Below are 24,208 nucleotides of genomic sequence, written 5' to 3'. Positions count from 1 at the left end.
ATCTCACCACTAAGGTCTGCAGCTTCATTCTTGAAATGAGCAAGTCCATGAACCTCCCAGAAGGAAGGAAATCTAGACACATCTGATGTAAAAAACTCTGGACATAACACCTTTAAATGATGTAACACTCACCGTAAAGGACTGCAGCTTCATTCTTGAAGTGAGCAAGACCATGAACCTGCCAGAAGGAAGAAACTCTGGACACATCTGAAGGAACAAACTCTGGACATAACACCTTTATGTGCTGTAACACTCACCGTAAAGGTCTGCATCTTCATTCTTGAAGTGAGCAAGACCATGAACCTGCCAGAAGGAAGAAACTCTGGACACATCTGAAGGAACAAACTCTGTAAATAACATCTTTAAGTGTTGTAACACTCACCACTAAGGTCTGCAGCTTCATTCTTGAAGTGAGCAAGACCATGAACCTGCCAGAAGGAAGAAACTCTGGACACATCTGAAGGAACAAACTCTGGATATAACACCTTTAAGTGCTGTAAAACTCACCACTAAGTTCTGCAGCTTCTTTCTTGAAGTGATCAAGACCATGAACCTGCCAGAAGGAAGAAACACTGCACACAACTGAAGGAACAAACTCTGGAAATAACATCTTTCAGTGCTGTAACACTCACCGTAAAGGTCTACAGTTTCATTCTTGAAGTGAGCAAGACCATGAACCTTCCAGAAGACAGAAACCCTGGACACATCTGAAGGAAGAAACTCTAGACATAACAATTTTTAGTGCTGTAACATTCACCGGTAAGGTCTGCAGTTTCATTCTTGAAGTGAGCAAGACCATGGACGTGCCAGAAGGAAGAATCTCTGGACTTATCTGAAGGAACAAACTCTGGACATAAAAACTTAAGTGCTGTAACGCTCACCACTAAGGTCTGCAGCTTCATTCTTGAAGTGAGCAAGACCATGAACCTGCCAGAAGGAGGAAACTCTGGACACATCTGAAGGAACAAACTCTGGACATAACACCTTTAAATGCCGTAACACTCACCGTAAAGGTCTGCAGTTTCATTCTTGAAGTGAGCTAGACCATGAACCTGCCAGAAGGAAGAAACTCTGGACACATCTGAAGGAACAAACTCTGGACATAGCATCTTTCATTGCTGTAACACTCACCGTAAAGGTCTACAGTTTCATTCTTGAATTGAGCAAGACCATGAACCTGCCAGAAGGAAGAAAGTGGACAAATCTGAAGGAACAAACAATGGACATAACACCTTTAAATGCTGTAACACTCACCGTAAAGGTCTGCAGCTTCATTCTTGAAGTGAGCAAGACCATGAACCTGCCAGAAGGAAGAAACTCTGGACTTATCTGAAGGAACAAACTCTGGACATAAAAACTTAAGTGATGTAACGCTCACCACTAAGGTCCGCAGCTTCATTCTTGAAGTGAGCAAGACCATGAACCTGCCAGAAGGAAGAAACTCTGGACTTATCTGAAGGAACAAACTCTGGACATAAAAACTTAACTGCTGTAACGCTCACCACTAAGGTCTGCAGCTTCATTCTTGAAGTGAGCAAACCATGAACCTGGAGAAGGAAGAAACTCTGGACACATCTGAAGGAACAAACTCTGGACATAACAGCTTTAAGTGCTGTAAAACTCACCACTAAGGTCTGCAGCTTCATTCTTGAAATGAGCAAGTCCATGAAACTCCCAGAAGGAAGGAAATCTAGACAAATCTGATGTAAAAAACTCTGGACATAACACCTTTAAATGATGTAACACTCACCGTAAAGGACTGCAGCTTCATTCTTGAAGTGAGCAAGACCATGAACCTGCCAGAAGGAAGAAACTCTGGACACATCTGAAGGAACAAACTCTGGATATAACACCTTTATGTGCTGTAACACTCACCGTAAAGGTCTGCATCTTCATTCTTGAAGTGAGCAAGACCATGAACCTGCCAGAGGGAAGAAACTCTGGACACATCTGAAGGAAAAAACTCTGTAAATAACATCTTTAAGTGTTGTAACACTCACCACTAAGGTCTGCAGCTTCATTCTTAAAGTGAGCAAGACCATGAACCTGCCAGAAGGAAGAAACTCTGGACACATCTGAAGGAAAAAACTCTGGACATAACACCTTTAAGTGTGTAAAACTCACCACTAAGTTCTGCAGCTTCATTCTTGAAGTGAGGAAGACCATGAACCTGCCAGAAGGAAGAAACTCTGGACACATCTGAAGGAACAAACTCTGGACATAACACCTTTAAGTGCTATAACACTCACCGTAAAGGTATGCAGCTTCATTCTTGAATTGAGCAAGACCATGAACCTGCCAGAAGGAAGAAACTCTGGACACATCTGAAGGAACAAACTCTGGACATAACATCTTTCAGTGCTGTAACACTCACCGTAATGGTCTGCAGTTTCATTCTTGAAGTGAGCAAGAGCATGAAACTGCCAGAAGGAAGAAACTCTGGACACATATGAAGGAAAAAACTCTGGACATAACACCTTTAAGTGTTGTAACACTCACCGTAAAGGACTGGAGCTTCATTATTGAAGTGAGAAAGACCTTGAACCTGCCAGAAGAAAGAAACTCTGGACACATCTGAAGGAAAAAACTCTGGACATAACACCTTTATGTGCTGTAACACTTACCTTAAAGGTCTGCAGCTTCATTCTTGAAATGAGCAAGACCATGAACCTGCCAGAAGGAAGAAACTCTATACACATCTGATGGAAAAAACTCTGGACATAACACCTTTAAGTGCTGTAACACTCACCACCAAGGTCTGCAGCTTCATTCTTGAAGTGAGCAAGACCATGAACCTGCCAGAAGGAAGAAATGCTGGCCACATATGAAGGAACAAACTCTGGACATAACAACTTTAAGTGCTGTAACACTCAACACTAAGGTCTGCAGCTTCATTCTTGAAGTGAGCAAGACCATGAACCGGCCAGAAGGAAGAAACTCTGGACACATCTGAAGGAAAAAACTCTGGACATAACACCTTTAAGTGCTGTAACCCTCACCACTAAGGTCTGCAGCTTCATTCTTGAAGTGAGCAAGACCATGAACCTGCCAGAAGGAAGAAACTCTGTACACATCTGGAGGAACAAACTCCGGACATAACACCTTTAAGTGCTGTAACACTCACCGTAAAGGACTGGAGCTTCATTATTGAAGTGACCAAGACCATGAACCTGCCAGAAGAAAGATACTCTGGACACATCTGAAGGAACAAACTCTGGACATAACCCCTTTAAGTGCTGTAACACTCACCGTAAAGGTCTGCAGTTTCATTGTTGAAGTGAGCAGGACCATGAACCTGCAGAAGGAAGAAACCCTGGAAAAATCTGAATTAACAAACTCTGGACATAACACTTTTACGTACTGTAACACTCAGCGTAAATGTCTGCAGCTTCATTCTTGAAGTTAGCAAGACCTTGAACTTGCCAGAAGGACGAAACTCTGGACACATCTGAAGGAACAAACTCTGGACATAACATTTTTCAGTGCTGTAAAACTCACCGTAAATGTCTACAGTTTCATTCTTGAAGTGAGCAAGACAAATGAACCTGCCAGAAGGAAGAAACTCTGGCCACATCTGAAGGAACAAACTCTGGACATAACACTTTTACGTGGTGTAACACTCACCCTAAATGTCTGGAGCTTCATTCTTGAAGTGAGTAAGTCCATGAACCTGCCAGAAGAAAGAAACTCTGGACATACCTGAAGGACCACACTCTGGAAATAACACCTTTATATGCTGTAACACTCACCGTAAATCTCTGCAGCTTCATTCTTTCTGGAAGTGAGCAAGACCATGTACATGACAGAAGGAAGAATATCTGGACACATCTGAAGGATCAATCTCCGGACATAACACCTTTATATGCTGTAACACTCAACGTAAAGATCTGCAGCTTCATTCTTTGTTGAAGTGAGCAACACCATGAACCTGCCAGAAGGAAGAAATTCTGGCCACATCTGAAGGAACAAACTCTGGACATAACACCTTTAAGTGCTGTAACACTCACCACTAAAGGACTGGAGCTTCACTCTTGAACTGAGCAAGAACATGAACCTGCCAGATGGAAGAACCTCTGGACACATCTGAAGGAAAAAACTCTGGAAACAAAACCTTTAAGTGCTGTAACACTCACCACCTAGGTCTGCAGCTTCATTCTTGAAGTGAGCAAGACCATGAACCTGCCAGAGGGAAGAAACTCTGTACACATCTGAAGGAACAAACTCTGGACATAACACCTTTATATGCTGTAACACTCACCAATAAGGTCTGCAGCTTCATTCTTACTTGACGTGAGCAGGACCATGAACATGCCAGAAGGAAGAAACTCTAGACACATCTGAAGGAAAAAACTGTGGACATAACATCTTTAAGTGCTGTAACCCTCACCACTAAGGTCTGCAGCATCATTCTTAAAGTGAGCAAGACCATGAACCTGCCAGAAGGTAGAAATTCTGGACACATCTGAAGGAAAAAACTCTGGACATAACACCTTTAAATGCTGTAACACTCACCGTAAAGGTCTGCAGCTTCATTCTTGAGGTCAGCAAGACCATGAACCTGCCAGAAGGAAGAAACTCTGGACACATCTGAAGGAACAAACTCTGGACATAAAAACGTAAGTGCTGTAACGCTCACCACTAAGGTCTGCAGCTTCATTATTGAATCTAGCAAGACAACGAACCTGCCAGAAGGAAGAAACTCTGGACACATCTAAAGGAAAAAACTCTCGAAATAACAACATTAAGTGCTGTAACACTCACCGTAAACGTCTGCAGCTTCATTCTTGAAGCTAGCAAGACCATGAACCTGCCAGAAGGAAGAAACTCTGGACACATCTGAAGTAACAAACTCTGGACATAATACCTTTAAGTGTTGTAACACTCACCGTAAAGGTCTGCAGTTTCATTCTTCAAGTGAGCACGACCATGAACCTGCCAGAAGGAAGAAACTCTGGACACAACTGAAGGAACAGACCCTGGACATAACACTTTTAAGTGATGAAAAAATCACCATAAAGCTCTGGAGCTTCATTCTTGAAGTGAGCAAATCCATGAACCTGCCAGAAGAAAGAAACTCTGGACACATCTGAAGGAACAAACTCTGGATATAACACCTTTAAGTGCTGTAACACTCACCGTAAAGGTCTGCAGCTTCATTCTTGAAGTGAGCAAGACCATGAACCTGCCAGAAGGAAGAAACTCTATACACATCTGAAGGAACAAACTCTGGACATAACAACTTTATATGCTGTAAAACTCACCGTAAAAGTCTGCAGCTTCATTCTTTCTTGAAGTGAGCAAGACCATGAAACTGCCAGAAGAAAGAAACTATGGACACATCTGAAGGAACAAACTCTTTACATAACACCTTTAAGTGCTGTAACACTCACCACTAAATTCTGCAGCTTCACTCTTGAAGTGAGCAAGACCATGAACCTGCCAGATGAAAGAAATTCTGGACACATCTGAAGGCAAAATCTCTGGACATAACACCTTTAAGTGCTGTAACACTCACCACTAATGTCTGCAGCTTCATTCTTGAAGGGAGCAAGACCATGAAACTGCCAGAAGGAAGAAATTCTGGACACATCTGAAGGAACAAACGCTGGACATAACACCTTTAAGTGCTGTACGACTCACCGTAAAGGACTGGAGCTTCATTATTGAAGTGAGGAAGACCATGAACCTGCCAGAAGAAAGAAACTCTGGACACATCTGAAGGAACAAACTCTGGACATAACACTTTTAAGTGCTGTAACACTCACCGTAAAGGTCTGCAGCTTCATTGTTGAAGTGAGCAGGACCATGAACCTGCAGAAGGAAGAAACTCTGGACAAATCTGAATTAACAAACTCTGGACATAACACATTTACGTACTGTAACACTCAGCGTAAAGGTCTGCAGCTTCATTCTTGAAGTTAGCAAGACCTTGAACTTGCCAGAAGGAAGAAACTCTGGACACATCTGAAGGAACTAACTCTGGATATAACACCTTTAAGTGCTGTAACACTCACCGTAAAGCTCTGCAACATCATTCTTGAAGTGAGCAAGACCATGAACCTACCAGATGGAAGAAACTCTGGACACATCTGAACGAACAAACTCTGGACATAACAAATTTAATTACTGTCACACTCACCACTAAGGTCTGCAGCTTCATTCTTGAAGTGAGCAAGACCATGAACCTGCCAGAAGGAAGAAACTCTAGACATATCTGACGGTACAAACTCTGGACATAACACCTTTAAGTGTTGTAACACTCAAAACCTAGGTCTGCAGCTTCATTCTTGAAGTGAGCAAGACCATGAACCTGCCAGAAGGAAGAAACTCTGGGCACATCTAAAAGAACAAACTCTGGACATAAGACGTTTAAATGCTGTAACACTCACTGTAAGGGTCTGCAGTTTCATTCTTAAAGTGAGGAAGACCATGAACCTGCCAGAAGAAGAAACTCTGGCCACATCTGAAGGAACAAACTCTGGACATAACACTTTTAAGTGCTGTAACACTCACCCTAACGGTCTGCAGCTTCATTCTTGAAGTGAGCAAGACCATGAACCTGCCAGAAGGAAGAAATTCTGGACACATCTGAATGAACAAACTCTGGACATAACACCTTTAAGTGCTGTGACACTCACCGTAAAGGTCCGCAGCTTCATTGTTGAAGTGAGCAAGACAATGAACCTGCCAGAAGGAAGAAACTCTATACATATCTGATGGAACAAACTCTGGACATAACACCTTTAAGTGCTGTAACACTCACCACCAAGGTCTGCAGCTTCATTCTTGAAGTGAGCAAGACCATGAACCTGCCCGAAAGAAGAAATTCTGGACACATCTGAAGGACAAAAATCTGGAAATAACACCTTTATATGCTGCACACTCACCGTAAAGGTCTGCAGCTTCATTCTTTCTTGAAGTGAGCAAGACCATGAACATGCTAGAAGGAAGAATATCTGGACACATCTGAAGGAACAAACTCTGGACATAACACCTTTAAGTGGTGTAACAATCACCACTAAATTATTCAGCTTCACTCTTGAAGTGAGCAAGACAATGAACCTGCCAGATGGAAGAAACTCTGGACACATCTGAAGGAAAAAACTCTGGACATAACACCTTTAACTGCTGTAACACTCACCACTAAGGTCTGCAGCTTCATTCTTGAAGTGAGCAAGACCATGAACCTGCCAGATGGAAGAAACTCTGGACACATCTGCAGGAACAAACTCTGGACATAACACCTTTAAGTGGTGTAACAATCACCACTAAATTATTCAGCTTCACTCTTGAAGTGAGCAAGACAATGAACCTGCCAGATGGAAGAAACTCTGGACACATCTGAAGGAAAAAACTCTGGACATAACACCTTTAACTGCTGTAACACTCACCACTAAGGTCTGCAGCTTCATTCTTGAAGTGAGCAAGACCATGAACCTGCAGATGGAAGAAACTCTGGACACATCTGCAGGAACAAACTCTGGACATAACACCATTAAGTACTGTAACACTCACCACTAAGGTCTGCAGCTTCATTCTTGAATTGAGCAAGACCATGAACCTGCCAGAAGGAAGAAACTCTGGACACATCTAAAGGAAAAAACTCTGGACATAACACCTTGAAGTGTTGTAACCCTCACCACTAAGGTCTGCAGCTTCATTCTTGAAGTGAGCAAGACCATGAACCTGCCAGAAGTAAGAAACTCTGGACACATCTAAAGGAACAAACTCTGGACGTAACATGTTTAAATGCTGTAACACTCACCGTAAAGGTCTGCAGCTTCATTCTTGAAGTGAGCAAGACCATGAACCTGCCAGAAGGAAGAAACTCTGGCCACATATGAAGGAACAAACTCTGGACATAACACTTTTAAGTGCTGTAACACTCACCACTAAGGTCTGCAGCTTCATTCTTGAAGTGAGCAAGACCATGAACCTGCCAGATTGAAGAAACTTTGGACACATCTGAAGGAACAAACTCTTTACATAACACGTTTAAGTGCTGTAACACTCAGCACTAAGGTCTGCAGCTTCATTCTTGAAGTGAGCAAGACGATGAACCTGCCAGAAGGAAGAAACTCTGGACATATCTGAAGGAACAAACTCTGTACATAACACTTTAAGTGCTGTAACACTCACCACTAAGGTCTGCAGCTTCATTCCTGAATTGAGCAAGACCATGAACCTGCCAGAAGGAAGAAACTCTGGACACATCTGAAGGAAAAAACTCTGGACATAACAACTTTAAGTGCTGTAACCGTCACCAATAATTTCTGCAGCTTCATTCTTGAAGTGAGCAAGACCATGAACCTGCACGAAGGAAGAAACTCTGGACACATCTCAAGGACCAAACTCTGGACATCACACCTTTATATGTTGTAACACTCAACGTAAATGTCTGCAGCTTCATTCATTCTTGAAGTGAGCAAGACCATGAACCTGCCAGAAGAAAGAAACTCTGGACACATCTGAAGGAAGAAACTCTTGATATAACACCTTTAAGTGCTGTAACACTCACCGTAAAGCTCTGCAACATCATTCTTGAAGTGAGCAAACCATGAACCTGCCAGATTGAAGAAATTTGGACACATCTGAAGGAACAAACTCTTTAGATAACACCATTAAGTGCTGTAACACTCAGCACTAAGGTCTGCAGCTTCATTCTTGAAATGAGCAAGACCATGTACCTGCCAAAAGGAAGAAACTCTGGACACATCTGATGGAACAAACTCGGGACATAACACCTGTAAGTGCTGTAACACTCACGACCAAGGTCTGCAGCTTCATTCTTGAAGTGAGCAAGACCATGAACCTGCTAGAAGGAAGAAACTCTGGACACAACTGAAGGAACAAACTCTGGAAATAACACCTTTAAGTGCTGTAAAACTCACCGTAAAGGTCTGGAGCTTCATTCTTGAAGTGAGCAAGACAATGATCCTGCCAGGAGAAAGAAACTCTGGACACATCTGAAGGAAGAAACTCTGGATATAACACCTTTAAGTGCTGTAACACTCACCGTAAAGGTCTGCAGCATCATACTTGAGGTGAGCAAGACCATGAACCTGCCAGAAGGAAGAAACTCTGCACACATCACAAGGAACAAACTCTGTACATAACAACTTTAAGTGCTGTAACATTCACCAATAAGGTCTGCAGCTTCATTCTTGAAGTGAGCAAGACCATTCACCTGCCAGAAGGAAGAAACTCTAGACACATCTTATGGAACAAACTCTGGACATAAAACCTTTAAGTGCTGTAACGCTCACTACTAAGGTCTGCAGATTCATTCTTGAAGAGAACAAGACCATGAACCTGACAGAATGAAGAAATTCTGGACACATCTGAAGGAATAAAACCTGGACATGTCAACATTAAGTGCTGTAACACTAACCGTAAGGGTCTGCAGCTTCATTCTTGAAGTGAGGAAGACCATGAACCTGCCAGAAGGAAGAAACTCTGGACACATCACAAGGAACAAACTCTGGACTTAACACGCTTATGTGCTGTAACACTCACCACTAAGGTCTGCAGCTTCATTCTTGAAGAGAGCAAGGCCATGAAACTGCCAGAAGGAAGAAACTCTATACACAACAGATGGAACAAAGTCTGGACATAACACAATTAAGTTCTGTAACACTCACCACCAAGGTCTGCAGCTTCATTCTTGAAGTGAGTAAGACCATGACCATGCCCGAAGGAAGAACTTCTGGACACATCTGAAGGACCAAATTCTGGACATAACACCTTTATATGCTGTAACCCTCACCACTAAGGTCTGCAGCTTCATTCTTCAAGTGAGCAAGACCATGAACCTGCCAGATGGAAGAAACTCTGCAAATATCTGAAGGAAGAAACTCTGGACATAACATATTTCAGTTCTGGAACACTCACCGTAAAGGTCTACAGTTTCCTTGTTGAAGTGAGTAACACCATGAACCTGCCAGAAGGAAGAAACTGGACACATCTGAAGGAAAAAACTCTGGACATAACACCTTTAAGTGCTGTAACACTCACCGTAATGGTCTGCAGTTTCATTCTTGAAGTGAGCAAGACCATGAACCTGCCAGAAGGAAGAAACACTGGACACATCTGAAGGAACAAACTCTGTACATAACACCTTTAAGTACTGTAACACTCACCGTAAAGGACTGGAGCTTCATTCTTGAAGTGAGCAAGACCATGAACCTGCTAGAAGAAAGAAAATCTGGACACGTCTGAAGGAAAAAACTCTGGACATAACACCTTTAAGTGCTGTAACACTCACCACCTAGGTCTGCAGCCTCATTCTTGAAGTGAGCAAGACCATGAACCTGCCAGAAGGAAGAAACTCTGGACACATCTGAAGGAACAAACTCTGGACACAACACTTTATATGCTGTAACACTCACCGTAAAGTTCTGCATCTTCATTATTTCTTGAAGTGAGCAAGACCATGAACATGCCAGAAGGAAAAAAATCTGGACACATCTGAAGGGACAAACTCTGGATATAACAACTTTAAGTGCTGTAACACTCACCGTAAATGTCTGTAGCTTCATTCTTGAAGTGAGCAAGACCATGAACCTGCCTGAAGGAAGAAAGTCTATACACATCTGATGGAACAAACTCTGGACATAACACCTTTAAGTGCTGTAACACTCACCACCAAGGTCTGCAGGTTCATTCTTGAAGTGAGCAAGACCATGAACCTGCCAGAAGGAAGAAACTCTGCACAAAACTGAAGGAACAAACTCTGGACATAACACTTTTAATTGCTGTAAAACTCGCCGTAAACGTCCGGAGATTCACTCTTGAATTGAGCAAGGCCATGAACCTGAGAGAAGAAGGAAACTCTGGACACATCTGAAGGAACAAACTCTGGATATAACACCTTTAAGTGCTGTAACACTCACCGTAAAGGTCTGCAGCTTCATTCTTGTATTGAGCAAGTCCATCAACCTGCCAGAAGGAAGAAACTCTATACACATGTGATGGAACAAACTCTGGACATAACACCTTTATGTGCTGTAACACTCACCACTAAGGTCTGCAGCTTCATTCTTGAAGTGAGCAATGCCATGAAACTGCCAGAAGGAAGAAACTCTATACACAATAGATGGAACAAAGTCTGGACATAACACAATTAAGTGCTGTAACACTCACCACCAAGGTCTGCAGCTTCATTCTTGAAGTGAGCAAGACCATGAACCTGCCAAAAGGAAGAAACTCTAGACACATCTGATGGAACAAACTCGGGACATAACACCTGTAAGTGCTGTAACACTCACCACCAAGATCTGCAGCTTCATTCTTGAAGTGAGCAAGACAATGAACTTGCCAGAAGGAAGAAACTCTGGACACATCTGAAGGAACAAACTCTGGACATAACACCTTTAAGTGCTGTAACACTCAACGTAACGGTCTGGAGCTTCATTGTTGAAGTGAGCAAGACCATGAACCTGCCAGAAGGAAGAAACTCTATACACATCTGATGGAACAAACTCTGCACATAACACCTTTAAGTGCTGTAACACTCAACACCAAGGTCTGCAGCTTCATTCTTCAAGTGAGCAAGACCATGAACCTGCCCGAAAGAAGAAATTCTGGACACATCTGAAGAACCAAACTCTGGATATAACACCTTTATATGCTGTAACACTCACCGTAAAGGTCTGCAGCTTCATTCTTTCTTGAAGTGAGCAAGACCATGAACATGCCAGAAGGAAGAATATCTGGACACATCTGAAGGAACAAACTCTGGACATAACACCTTTAAGTGCTGCAACACTCACTGTAAAGGTCTGGAGGTTCATTCTTGAAGCTAGCAAGACCATGAACCTGCCAGAAGGAAGAATATCTGGACACATCTGAAGAAAGAATCTCTGGACATGACAACATTATGTGCTGTAACACTCACCGTAAAGGACTGCAGCTTCATTCTTGAAGTTAGCAAGACCATGAAGCTGCCAGAAGGAAGAAACTCTGGACACATCACAAGGAACAAACTCTGGACGTAACACCTTTAAGTGCTGTCACACTCACCACTAAGGTCTGCAGCTTCATTCTTGAATTGAGCAAGACCATGAACCTGCCAGAAGGAAGAAACTCTGCACACATCTGAAGGAACAAACTCTGGACATAACACCTTTAAATGCTGTAACACTCACCGTAAAGGTCTGCAGCTTCATTCTTGAGGTGAGCAAGACCAAGAACCTGCCAGAAGGAAGAAACTCTGGATACATCTGTAGGAACAAACTCTGGACATAACACCTTTAAGTGCCGTAACGTAAAGGTCTGCAGCTTCATTCTTGAAGTGAGCAAGACCATGAACCTGCCAGAAGGAAGAAACACTGGACACATCTGAAGGAACAAACTCTGGACATAACATCTTTCATTGCTGTAACACTCACCGTAAAGGTCTACAGATTCATTCTTGAAGGGGGCAAGACCATGAACCTGCCAGAAGGAAGAAACTGGACACATCTGAAGGAACAAACTCTGGACATAACACCTTTAAATGCTGTAACACTCACCGTAAAGGTCTGCCGCGTCATTCTTGAGGTGAGCAAGACCATGAACCTGCCAGAAGGAAGAAACTCTGGACACATCTGAAGGAACAAACTCTGGACATAACACCTTTAAGTGCTGTAACACTCACCGTAAGGGTCTGCAGTTTCATTCTTGAAGTGAGCAAGACCATGAACCTGCCAGAAGGAAGAAACTCTGGACACATCTGAATTAACAAACTCTGGACATAACACCTTTAAGTGCTGTAAAACTCACCACTAAGTTCTGCAGCTTCATTCTTGAAGTGAGCAAGACCATGAACCTGTCAGAAGGAAGAAACTCTGGACTTATCTGAAGGAACAAACTCTGGACATAAAAACTTAACTGCTGTAACGCTCACCACTACGGTCTGCAGCTTCATTCTTGAAGTGAGCAAGACCATGAACCTGCCAGAAAGAAGACACTCTGGACACATCTGAAGGGACAAACTCTGGACATAACACCTTTAAGTGCTGTAAAACTCACCACTAAAGTCTGCAGCTTCATCCTTGAAATGAGCAAGTACATGAACCTCCCAGAAGGAAGGAACTCTAGACATATCTGATGTAACAAACTCTGGACATAACACCTTTAAATGATGTAACACACACCGTAAAGGTCTGCAGCTTCATTCTTGAAGTGAGCAAGACCATGAACCTGCCAGAAGGAAGAAACTCTGGACACACCTGAAGGAACAAACTCTGGACATAAAAACTTTAAGTGCTGTAACACTCACCACTGAGGTCTGCAGCTTCATTCTTGAAGTGAGCAATACCATGAACCTGCCAGAAGGAAGAAATTCTGCAAACAACTGAAGGAACAAACTAAGGACATAACACCTTTAAGTGCTGTAACACTCACCGTAAAGGTCTGCAGCTTCATTCTTGAAGTGAGCAAGACCAAGAACCTGCCAGAAGGAAGAAACTCTGGACACATCTGAAGGAACAAACTCTGGACTTAACACCTTTAAGTGCTGTAACACTGACCGTAAAGGTCTGCAGCTTCATTCTTAAAGTGAGCAAGACCATGAACCTGCCAGAAGGAAGAAACTCTGGACACATCTGAAGGAACAAACTCTGGACATAACAACTTTAAGTGTTGTAACACTCACCACTAAGGTCTGCAGCTTCATTCTTGAAATGAGCAATACCATGAACCTGCCAGAAGGAAGAAACTCTGGACACATCTGAAGGAACAAACCCTGGACGTAACACCTTTAAGTGCTGTAAAACTCACCACTAAGTTCTGCAGCTTCATTCTTGAAGTGAGCAAGACAATGATCCTGCCAGAAGGAAGAAACTCTGGACACATCTGAAGGAACAAACTCTGGATATAACATCTTTAAGTACTGTAACACTCACCGTAAATGTCTACAGTTTCATTCTTGAAGTGAGCAAGACCATGAACCTTCCAGAAGGAAGAAATTCTAGACACATCTGAAGGAACAAACTCTGGACATAACAGCTTTAAGTGCTGTAAAACTCACCGTAAAGGTCTGGAGCTTCATTCTTGAAGTGAGCAAGACCATGAAACTGCAAGAAGAGAGAAAACCTGGACACATCAGAAGGAACAAACTCTGTATATAAGACCTTTAAGTACTGTAACATTCACCGTAAAGGTCTGCAGCATCATTTTTGAAGTAACAAACTCTAGACATAACAACTTTAAGTGCTGTAACACTCACCACTAAATTCTGCAGCTTCACTCTTGAAGTGAGCAAGACCATGAACCTGCCAGATTGAAGAAAATTTGGACACATCTGAAGGAACAAACTCTTTACATAACACCTTTAAGTGCTGTAACTCTCACCACTGAGGTCTGCAGCTTCATTCTTGAAGTGAGCAAGACCATGAACCTGCCAGATTGAAGAAACTTTGGACACATCTGAAGGAACAAACTCTTTACATAACACCTTTAAGTGCTGTAACACTCACCGTAAAGGTCTGCAGCTTCATTCTTTCTTGAAGTGAGCAAGACCATGAACCTGCCAGAAGGAAGAATATCTGGACACAACTGAAGTAAAAAACTCTGGACATGACACCTTTTAGTGCTGTAACACTCACCAGTAAATTCTGCAGCTTCACTCTTGAAGTGAGCAAGACCATGAACCCGCCAGATTGAAGAAATTTTGGACACATCTGAAGGAACAAACTCTTTACATAACACCTTTAAGTGCTGTAACACTCACCACTGAGGTCTGCAGCTTCATTCTTGAAGTGAACAAGACCATGAACCTGCCAAAAGGAAGAAACTCTGGACACATCTGATGGAACAAACTCGGGACATAACAACTTTAAGTGCTGTAACACTCATCACCAAGGTCTGCAGCTTCATTCTTGAAGTGAGCAAGACCATGAACCTGCCAGAAGGAAGAAACTCAGAACACATCTGAAAGAACAAACTATGGACATAACACCTTTAGGTCCTGTAACACTCACCGTAAGGGTCTGCAGTTTCATTCTGGAAGTGAGCAAGACCATGAACCGGCCAGAAGGAAGAAACTCTGGACACATCTGAAGGAAAAAACTCTGGACATAACACCTTTAAGTGCTGTAACACTCACCGTAAAGGACTGGAGGTTCATTCTTGAAGCTAGCAAGACCATGAACCTGCCAGAAGGAAGAAACTCTGTACACATCTGAAGGAAAAAACTCTGGACATAATACCTTTAAGTGCTGTAACCCTCACCGTAAAGGTCTGCAGTTTCATTCTTGAAGTGAGCAAGACCATGAACCTGCCAGAAGGAAGAAACTCTGGACACAACTGAAGGAACAAACTCTGGACATAACACCTTTAAGTGCTGTAAAACTCACCGTAAAGGTCTGGAGCTTCATTCTTGAAGTGAGCAAGACCATGAACCTGCAAGAAGAAAGAAAATCTGGACACATCTGAAGGAACAAACTCTGGATATAACACCTTTAAGTACTGTAACATTCACCGTAAATTTCTGCAGCATCATTCTTGAAGTGAGCAAGACCATGAACCTGCCAGATGGAAGAAACTCTGCACACTTCACAAGGAACAAACTCTGGACATAACACCTTTAAGTGCTGTAACACTCACCACTAAGGTCTGCAGCAGCATCCTTGAAGTGAGCAAGACCATGAACCTGCCAGAAGGAAGAAACTCTAGACACATCTGATGGAACAAACTCTGGATATAAAACCTTTAAGTGCTGTAACGCTCACCGCTAAGGTCTGCAGCTTCATTCTTAAAGAGAACAAGACAATGAACGTGCTAGAATGAAGAAACTCTGGACACATCTGAAGGAACAAACTCTGGACATGACAACATTAAGTGCTGTAACACTCACCGTAAAGGTCTGCAGCTTCATTCTTGAAGTGAGCAAGACCATGAACCTGCCAGAAGGAAGAAACTCTGGACACATCACAAGGAACAAACTCTGGACATAAGACCTTTAAGTGCTGTAACACTCACCACTAAGGTCTGCAGCTTCATTCTTTCTTGAACTGAGCAAGACCATGAACTTGCTAGAAGGAAGAATATCTGGACACATCTGAAGTAACAAACTCTAGACATAACAACTTTAAGTGCTGTAACACTCACCACTAAATTCTGCAGCTTCACATCTTGAAGTGAGCATGACGATGAACCTGCCAGATTGAAGAAACTTTGGACACATCTGAAGTAACAAACTCTTTACATAACACCTTTAAGAGCTGTAACACTCACTACTGAAGTCTGCAGCTTCATCCTTGAAGAGAGCAAGACCATGAACCTGCCAGAAGGAAGAAACTCTAGACACATCTGATGGAACAACTCTGGACATAAAACCTTTAAGTGCTGTAACGCTCACCGCTAAGGTCTGCAGCTTCATTCCTGAAGAGAACAAGACCATGAACCTGCCAGAAGGAAGAAACTCTGGACACATCACAAGGAACAAACTCTGGACATAACACCTTTAAGTGCTGTAACACTCACCACTAAGGCCGGCAGCTTCATTCTTGAAGTGAGCAAGACCATGAACCTGCCAGAAGGAAGTAACACTATACACATCAGATGGAACAAACTCTGGACATAACAAATTTAAGTGCTGTAACACTCACCACCAAGGTCTGCAGCTTCATTCTTGAAGTGAGCAAGACCATGAACCAGCCCGAAGGAAAAAATTCTGGACACATCTGAGTGACCAAACTCTGGACATAACACCTTTATATGCTGTAACACTCACTGTAAATGTCTGCAGCTTCATTCTTTCTTGAAGTGAGCAAGACCATGAACATGACAGAAGGAAGAATATCTGGACACATCTGATGTAACAAACTCTGGACATAACACCTTTTAGTGCTGTAACACTCACCACTAAATTCTGCAGCTTCACTCTTGAAGTGAGCAAGACCATGAACCTGCCAGATTGAAGAAACTTTGGACACATCTGAAGGAACATACTCTGGACATAACACCTTTAATTGCTGTAACTCTCACCACTAAGGTCTGCAGATTCATCCTTGAAGAGAGCAAGACCATGAACCTGCCAAAAGGAATAAACTCTGGACACATCTGATGGAACAACCTCGGGACATAACACCTGTAAGTGCTGTAACACTCACCACAAAGGTCTGCAGCTTCATACTTGAAGTGAGAAAGACCATGAATCTGCCAGAAGGAAGAAACTGTGGACACTTCTGAAAGAACAAACTCTGGACATAACACCTTTAAGTGATGTAACACTCACCATAAAGGACTGGAGGTTCATTCTTGAAGCTAGCAAGACCATGAACCTGCCAGAAGGAAGAAACTCTGTACACATCTGAAGGAAAAATCTCTGGACATAATACCTTTTAGTGCTGTAACACTCACCGTAAAGGTCTGCAGTTTCATTCTTGAAGTGAGCAAGACCATGAACCTGCCAGAAGGAATAAACTGTGGACACATCTGAAAGAACAAACTCTGGACATAACAACTTTAAGTGATGTAACACTCACCGTAAGGGTCTGCAGTTTCATTCTTCAAGTGAGCAAGACCATGAACCTGCCAGAAGGAAGAAACTCTGTACACATCTGAAGGAAAAAACTCTGGACATAATGCCTTTAAGTGCTGTAACACTCACCGTAAAGGTCTGCAGTTTCATTCTTGAACTGAGCAAGACAATGAACCTGCCAGAAGGAAGAAACTCTGGACACAACTGAAGGAACAAACTCTGGACATAACACCTTTAAGTGCTGTAAAACTCACCGTAAAGGTCTGGAGCTTCATTCTTGAAGTGAGCAAGACCATGAAACTGCCAGAAGAAAGAAACTCTGGACACATCTGAAGGAACAAACTGTGGATATAACACCTTTAAGTACTGTAACTTTCACCGTAAAGGTCTGCAGCATCATTCTTGATGTGAGCAAGACCATGAACCTGCCAGAAGGAAGAAACTCTCCACACATCACGAGGAACAAACTCTCTACATAACACCTTTAAGTGCTGTAACACTCACCACTAAGGTCTGCAGCTTCATTCTTGAAGTGAGCAAGACCATGAACCTGCCAAAAGGAAGAAACTCTGGACACATCTGATGGAACAAACTCGGGACATAACACCTGTAAGTGCTGTAACACTCACCACCAAGGTCTACAGCTTCATTCTTGAAGTGAGCAAGACAATGAACTTGCCAGAAGGAAGAAACTCTGCACACATCACAAGGAACAAACTCTGGACATAACACCTTTAAGTGTTGTAACACTCACCACTAAGGTCTGCAGCTTCTTACTTGAAGTGAGCAAGACCATGAACCTGCCAGAAGGAAGAAACTGTGGATACATCTGTAAGAACAAACTCTGGACATAACACCTTTAAGTGGTGTAACACTCACCGTAAGGGTCTGCAGTTTCATTCTTGAATTGAGCAAATCATGAACCTGCCAGAAGGAAGAAACTCTGGACACATCTGAAGGAACAAACTCTGGACATAACACCTTTAAGTGCTGTAACACTCACCGTAAAGACTGGAGGTTCATTCTTGAAGCTAGCAAGACCATGAACGTGCCAGAAGGAAGTAACTCTGTACACATCTGACGGAAAAAACTCTGGACATAATTCCTTTAAGTGTTGTAACACTCACCGTAAAGGTCTGCAGTTTCATTCTTGAAGTGAGCAAGACCATGATACTGCCAGAAGAAAGAAACTCTGGACACAACTGAAGGAACAATCTCTGGACATAACACCTTTAAGTGCTGTAAAACTCACCGTAAAGGTCTGGAGCTTCATTCTTGAAGTGAGCAAGACCATGAAACTGCCAAAAGAAGGAAACTCTGGACACATATCAAGGAACAAACTCTGGATATAACACCTTTAAGTGCTGTAACACTCACCGTAAAGGTCTGCAGCATCATTCTTGAAGTGAGCAAGACCATGAACCTGCCAGAAGGAAGAAACTCTGCACACATCACACGGAACAAACTCTGGACATAACACCTTTAAGTGCTGTAACACTCACCACTAAGGTCTGCAGCTTCATTCTTCAAGTGAGCAAGACCATGAACCTGCCAGAAGGAAGAAACTCTATGCACATCACATGGATCAAAATCTGGACATAACATATTTAAGTGCTGTAACACTCACCACCAAGGTCTGCAGCTTCATTCTTGAAGTGAGCAAGACCATGAACCTGCCCGAAGGAAGAAATTCTGGACAAATCTGAAGGACCAAACTCTGGACATAACGCCTTTATATGCTGTAACACTCACCGTAAAGGTCTGCAGCTTCATTCTTTCTTGAAGTGAGCAAGACCATGAACCTGCCAGAAGGAAGAATATCTGGACAAATCTGAAGTAACAAACTCTGGACATAACACCTTTAAGTGCTGTAACACTCACCACTAAATTCTGCAGCTTCACTCTTGAAGTGAGAAAGACCATGAACCTGCCAGATTGAAGAAACTTTGGACACATCTGAAGGAACAAACTCTTTACATAACACCTTTAAGTGCTGTAACACTCTCCACTAAGGTCTGCAGCTTCATTCTTGAAGTGAGCAAGACCATGAACCTGCCAGAAGGAAGAAACTCTGGACACATCTGAAGGAATAAACTCTGGACATAACACCATTAAGTGCTGTAACACTCACCGTAAAGGACTGGAGATTCATTATTGAAGTGAGCAAAACCATGAACCTGCCAGAAGAAAGAAACTCTGGACACATCTGAAGGAACAAACTCTGGACATAATACCTTTAAGTGCTGTAACACTCACCGTAAAGGTCTGCAGTTTCATTCTTGAAGTGAGCAAGACCATGAACCTGCCAGAAGGAAGAAACTCTGGACAGAACTGAAGGAACAAACTCTGGACATAACACCTTTAAGTGACGTAAGATTCACCGTAAAGGTCTGGAGCTTCATTCTTGAAGTGAGCAAGTCCATGAACCTGCCAGAAGAAAGAAACTCTGGACACATCTGAAGGAACAAACTCTGGATATAACACCTTTAAGTGCTGTAACACTCACCGTAAAGGTCTGCAGCTTCATTCTTGAAATGAGCAAGACCATGAACCTGCCAGAAGGAAGAAACTCTATACACATCTGATGGAACAAACTCTGGACATAACACCTTTAAGTGCTGTGACACTCCCCACCAAGGTCTGCAGCTTCATTCTTGAAGTGAGCAAGACCATGAACCTGCCAGAAGGAAGAAATTCTGGCCACATAAGAAGGAACAAACTCTAGACATAACAACTTTCAGTGCTGTAACACTCAACACTAAGGTCTGCAGCTTCATTCTTGAAGTGAGCAAGACCATGAACCTGCCAGAAGGAAGAAACTCTGGACACATCTGAAGGAAAAAACTCTGGACATAACAACTTTATATGCTGTAAAACTCACCGTAAATGTCTGCAGCTTCATTCTTTCTTGAAGTGAGCAAGACGATGAACCTGCCAGAAGAAAGAAACGCTGGACACATCTGAAGGAACAACTCTGGATATAACACCTTTAAGTGCTGTAACACTCACCGTAAAGGTCTGCAGCATCATTCTTGAAGTGAGCAATACCATGAACCTGCCAGATGGAAGAAACGCTGGACACATCTCACGGAACAAACTCTGGACATAACTCCTTTAAGTGCTGTAACACTCACCACCTAGGTCTGCAGCTTCATTCTTGAAGGGAGTAAGACCATGAACCTGACAGAAGGAAGAAACTCTGGCCACATCTGGAGGAAGAAACTCTGGACATAACAACTTTATGTGCTGTAACACTCAACAGTAAGGACTGCAGCTTCATTCTTGAAGTGAGCAAGACAATGAGCCTGCCCGAAGGGAAGAAACTCTGGACACATGTGAAGGAACGAACACAGGATATAACACCATTAAGTGCTGTAAAACTCACCGTAAAGGTCTGCAGCATGATTCTTGAAGTGAGCAAGACCATGAACCTGCCAGAAGCAAGAAACTCTAGACACATCTGACGGAACAAACTCTGGACATAACACCTTTAAGTGCTGTAACACTCACCACCTAGGTCTGCAGCTTCATTCTTGAAGTGAGCAAGACCATGAACCTGCCAGTCGCAAGAAACTCTATACACATCTGATGGAAGAAACTCTGGACATAACACCTTTAACTGCTGTAACACTCACCAACAAGCTCTGCAGCTTCATTCTTGAAGTGAGCTAGACCATGAACCTGCCCGAAGGAAGAAACTCTGGACACATCTGAAGGACCAAACTCTGCACATAACACCTTTATATGCTGTAACACTCACTGTAAAGGTCTGCAGTTTCATTCTTTCTTGAAGTGAGCAAGACCATGTACAGGACAGAAGGAAGAATATCTGGACACATCTGAAGAAAGAATCTCTGGACATAACACCTTTATGTGCTGTAACACTCACCACTAAATTCTGCAGCTTCACGCTTGAAGTTAGCAAGAACATGAAACTGCCAGATGGAAGAAACTCTGGACACATCTGAAGGAATAAACTCTGGACGTAACACCTTTAAGTGCTGTAACACTCAACACTAAGGTCTGCAGCTTCATTCTTGAATTGAGCAAGACCATGAACCTGCCAGAAGGAAGAAACTCTGGACACATCTGAAGGAACAAACTCTGGACATAACATCTTTCAGTGCTGTAACACTCACCGTAATGGTCTGCAGTTTCATTCTTGAAGTGAGCAAGAGCATGAAACTGCCAGAAGGAAGAAACTCTGGACACATATGAAGGAAAAAACTCTGGACATAACACCTTTAAGTGTTGTAACACTCACCACTAAATTCTGCAGCTTCACTCTTGAAGTGAGCAAGACCATGAACCTGCCAGATGGAAGAAACTCCGGACACATCTGAAAGAAAAACTCTGGACATAACACCTTTAACTGCTGTAACATTCACCACTAAGGTCTGCAGCTTCATTCTTGAAGTGAGCAAGACCATGAACCTGCCAGAAGGAAGAAACTCAGAACACATCTGAAGGAACAAACTCTGGACATAACACCTTTAAGTGCTGTAACGCTCACCACCTAGGTCTGCAGCTTCATTCTTGAAGTGAGCAAGACCATGAACCTGCCTGAAGGAAGAAACTCTAGACACATCTGAAGGAACAAACTCTGGACATAAAACTTTTTAGTGCTGTAACACTCACCCTAAAGGTCTGCAGCTTCATTCTTGAAGTAAGCAAGACCATGAACCTGCCAAAAGGAAGAAATTCTGGACACATCTGAAGGAACAAATTCTGGATATAACAAATTTAAGTGCTGTAACACTCACCGTAAATGTCTGCAGCTTCATTCTTGAAGTGAGCAAGACCATGAACCTGCCAGAAGGAAGAAACTCTGGACACATCTGAAGTAACAACTCTGGGCATAATACCTTTAAGTGCTGTAACACCCACCACTAAGGTTTGCAGCTTAATTCTTGAAGTGAGCAAGACCATGAACCTGCCAGAAGGAAGAAACTCTGGACACATCTGACGGAAAAAACTCTGGACATAACAACTTTAAGTGCTGTAACCCTCACCACTAAGGTCTGCAGCTTCATTCTTGAAGTGAGCAAGACCATGAACCTGCCAGAAGGAAGAAATTCTGGCCACATATGAAGGAACAAACTCTGGACATAACAACTTTAAGTGCTGTAACACTCAACACTAAGGTCTGCAGCTTCATTCTTGAAGTGAGCAAGACCATGAACCGGCCAGAAGGAAGAAACTCTGGACACATCTGAAGGAAAAAACTCTGGACATAACACCTTTAAATGCTGTAACCCTCACCACTAAGGTCTGCAGCTTCATTCTTGAAGTGAGCAAGACCATGAACCTGCCAGAAGGAAGAAACTCTGGACACATCTGGAGGAACAAACTCCGGACATAACACCTTTAAGTACTGTAACACTCACCGTAAAGGACTGGAGCTTCATTATTGAAGTGAGGTAGACCATGAACCTGCCAGAAGAAAGATACTCTGGAAACATCTGAAGGAACAAACTCTGGACATAACCCCTTTAAGTGCTGTAACACTCACCGTAAAGGTCTGCAGCTACATTGTTGAAGTGAGCAGGACCATGAACCTGCAGAAGGAAGAAACCCTGGACAAATCTGAATAAACAAACTCTGGACATAACACTTTTACGTACTGTAACACTCACCGTAAAGGTCTGCAGCTTCATTCTTGAAGTTAGCAAGACCTTGAACTTGCCAGAAGGAAGAAACTCTGGACACATCTGAAGGAACAAACTCTGGACATAACATTTTTCAGTGCTGTAAAACTCACCGTAAATGTCTACAGTTTCATTCTTGAAGTGAGCAAGACAAATGAACCTGCCAGAAGGAAAAAACTGGACACATCTGAAGGAAAAATCTCTGGACATAACACCTTTAAATGCTGTAACACTCAGCGTAATGGTCTGCAGTTTCATTCTTGAAGTGAGCAAGACCATGAACCTGCCAGAAGGAAGAAACTCTGGACACATCTGGAGGAACAAACTCCGGACATAACACCTTTAAGTACTGTAACACTCACCGTAACGGACTGGAGCTTCATTATTGAAGTGAGCAAGACCATGAACCTGCCAGTAGAAAGAAACTCTGGACACATCTGAAAGAACAAACTCTGGACATAACAACTTTAAGTGCTGTAACACTTACCTTAAAGGTCTGCAGCTTCACTCTTGAAGGTAGAAAGACCATGAACCTGCTAGAAGGAAGAAACTCTGGACCCATCTGAAGGAACAAACTCTGGACATAATACCTTTAAGTGCTGTAACACTCAGCGTAAAGGTCTGCAGTTTCATTCTTGAAGTGAGCAAGACCATGAACCTGCCAGAAGGAAGAAATTCTGGACACATCTGAAGGAACAAACTCTGGACATAATACCTTTAAGTGCTGTAACACTCACCGTAATGGTCTGCAGTTTCATTCTTGAAGTGAGCAAGACCATGAACCTGCCAGAAGGAAGAAACTCTATACACATCTGATGGAAGAAACTCTGGACATAACACCTTTAACTGCTCTAACACTCACCAGCAAGGTCTGCAGCTTCATTCTTTAAGTGAGCTAGACCATGAACCTGCCCGAAGAAGAAACTCTGGACACATCTGAAGGACCAAACTCTGGACATAACACCTTTATATGCTGTAACACTCACCGTAAAGGTCTGCAGCTTCATTCTTTCTTGAAGTGAGCAAGACCATGTACATGACAGAAGGAAGAATATCTGGAAACATCTGAAGAAACAAACTCTGGACATAACAC

The 24,208-nt window shown here is 42.7% G+C and overlaps 2 annotated features.

The window, feature by feature from the left end:
* Positions 5,907–7,106: an enhancer, noted in NCBI's record as "BRD4-independent group 4 enhancer chrY:22316202-22317401 (GRCh37/hg19 assembly coordinates)". NCBI's record gives its function as "activates an origin of replication core promoter dependent on BRD2, P300/CBP, MED14 and CDK7 cofactors, and independent of BRD4, by STARR-seq in HCT116 cells {active_cell/tissue: HCT116}" and the evidence as "EXISTENCE:reporter gene assay evidence [ECO:0000049][PMID:35650434]".
* Positions 22,636–23,835: an enhancer, noted in NCBI's record as "BRD4-independent group 4 enhancer chrY:22299473-22300672 (GRCh37/hg19 assembly coordinates)". NCBI's record gives its function as "activates an origin of replication core promoter dependent on BRD2, P300/CBP, MED14 and CDK7 cofactors, and independent of BRD4, by STARR-seq in HCT116 cells {active_cell/tissue: HCT116}" and the evidence as "EXISTENCE:reporter gene assay evidence [ECO:0000049][PMID:35650434]".

The sequence above is a fragment of the Homo sapiens genome, chromosome Y (assembly GCF_000001405.40).
Source record: "Homo sapiens chromosome Y, GRCh38.p14 Primary Assembly".
Lineage (NCBI taxonomy): Eukaryota > Metazoa > Chordata > Mammalia > Primates > Hominidae > Homo > Homo sapiens.
Note: the sequence above shows the minus strand (reverse complement) of the source record. Positions and strands in the feature narration are given on the sequence as shown.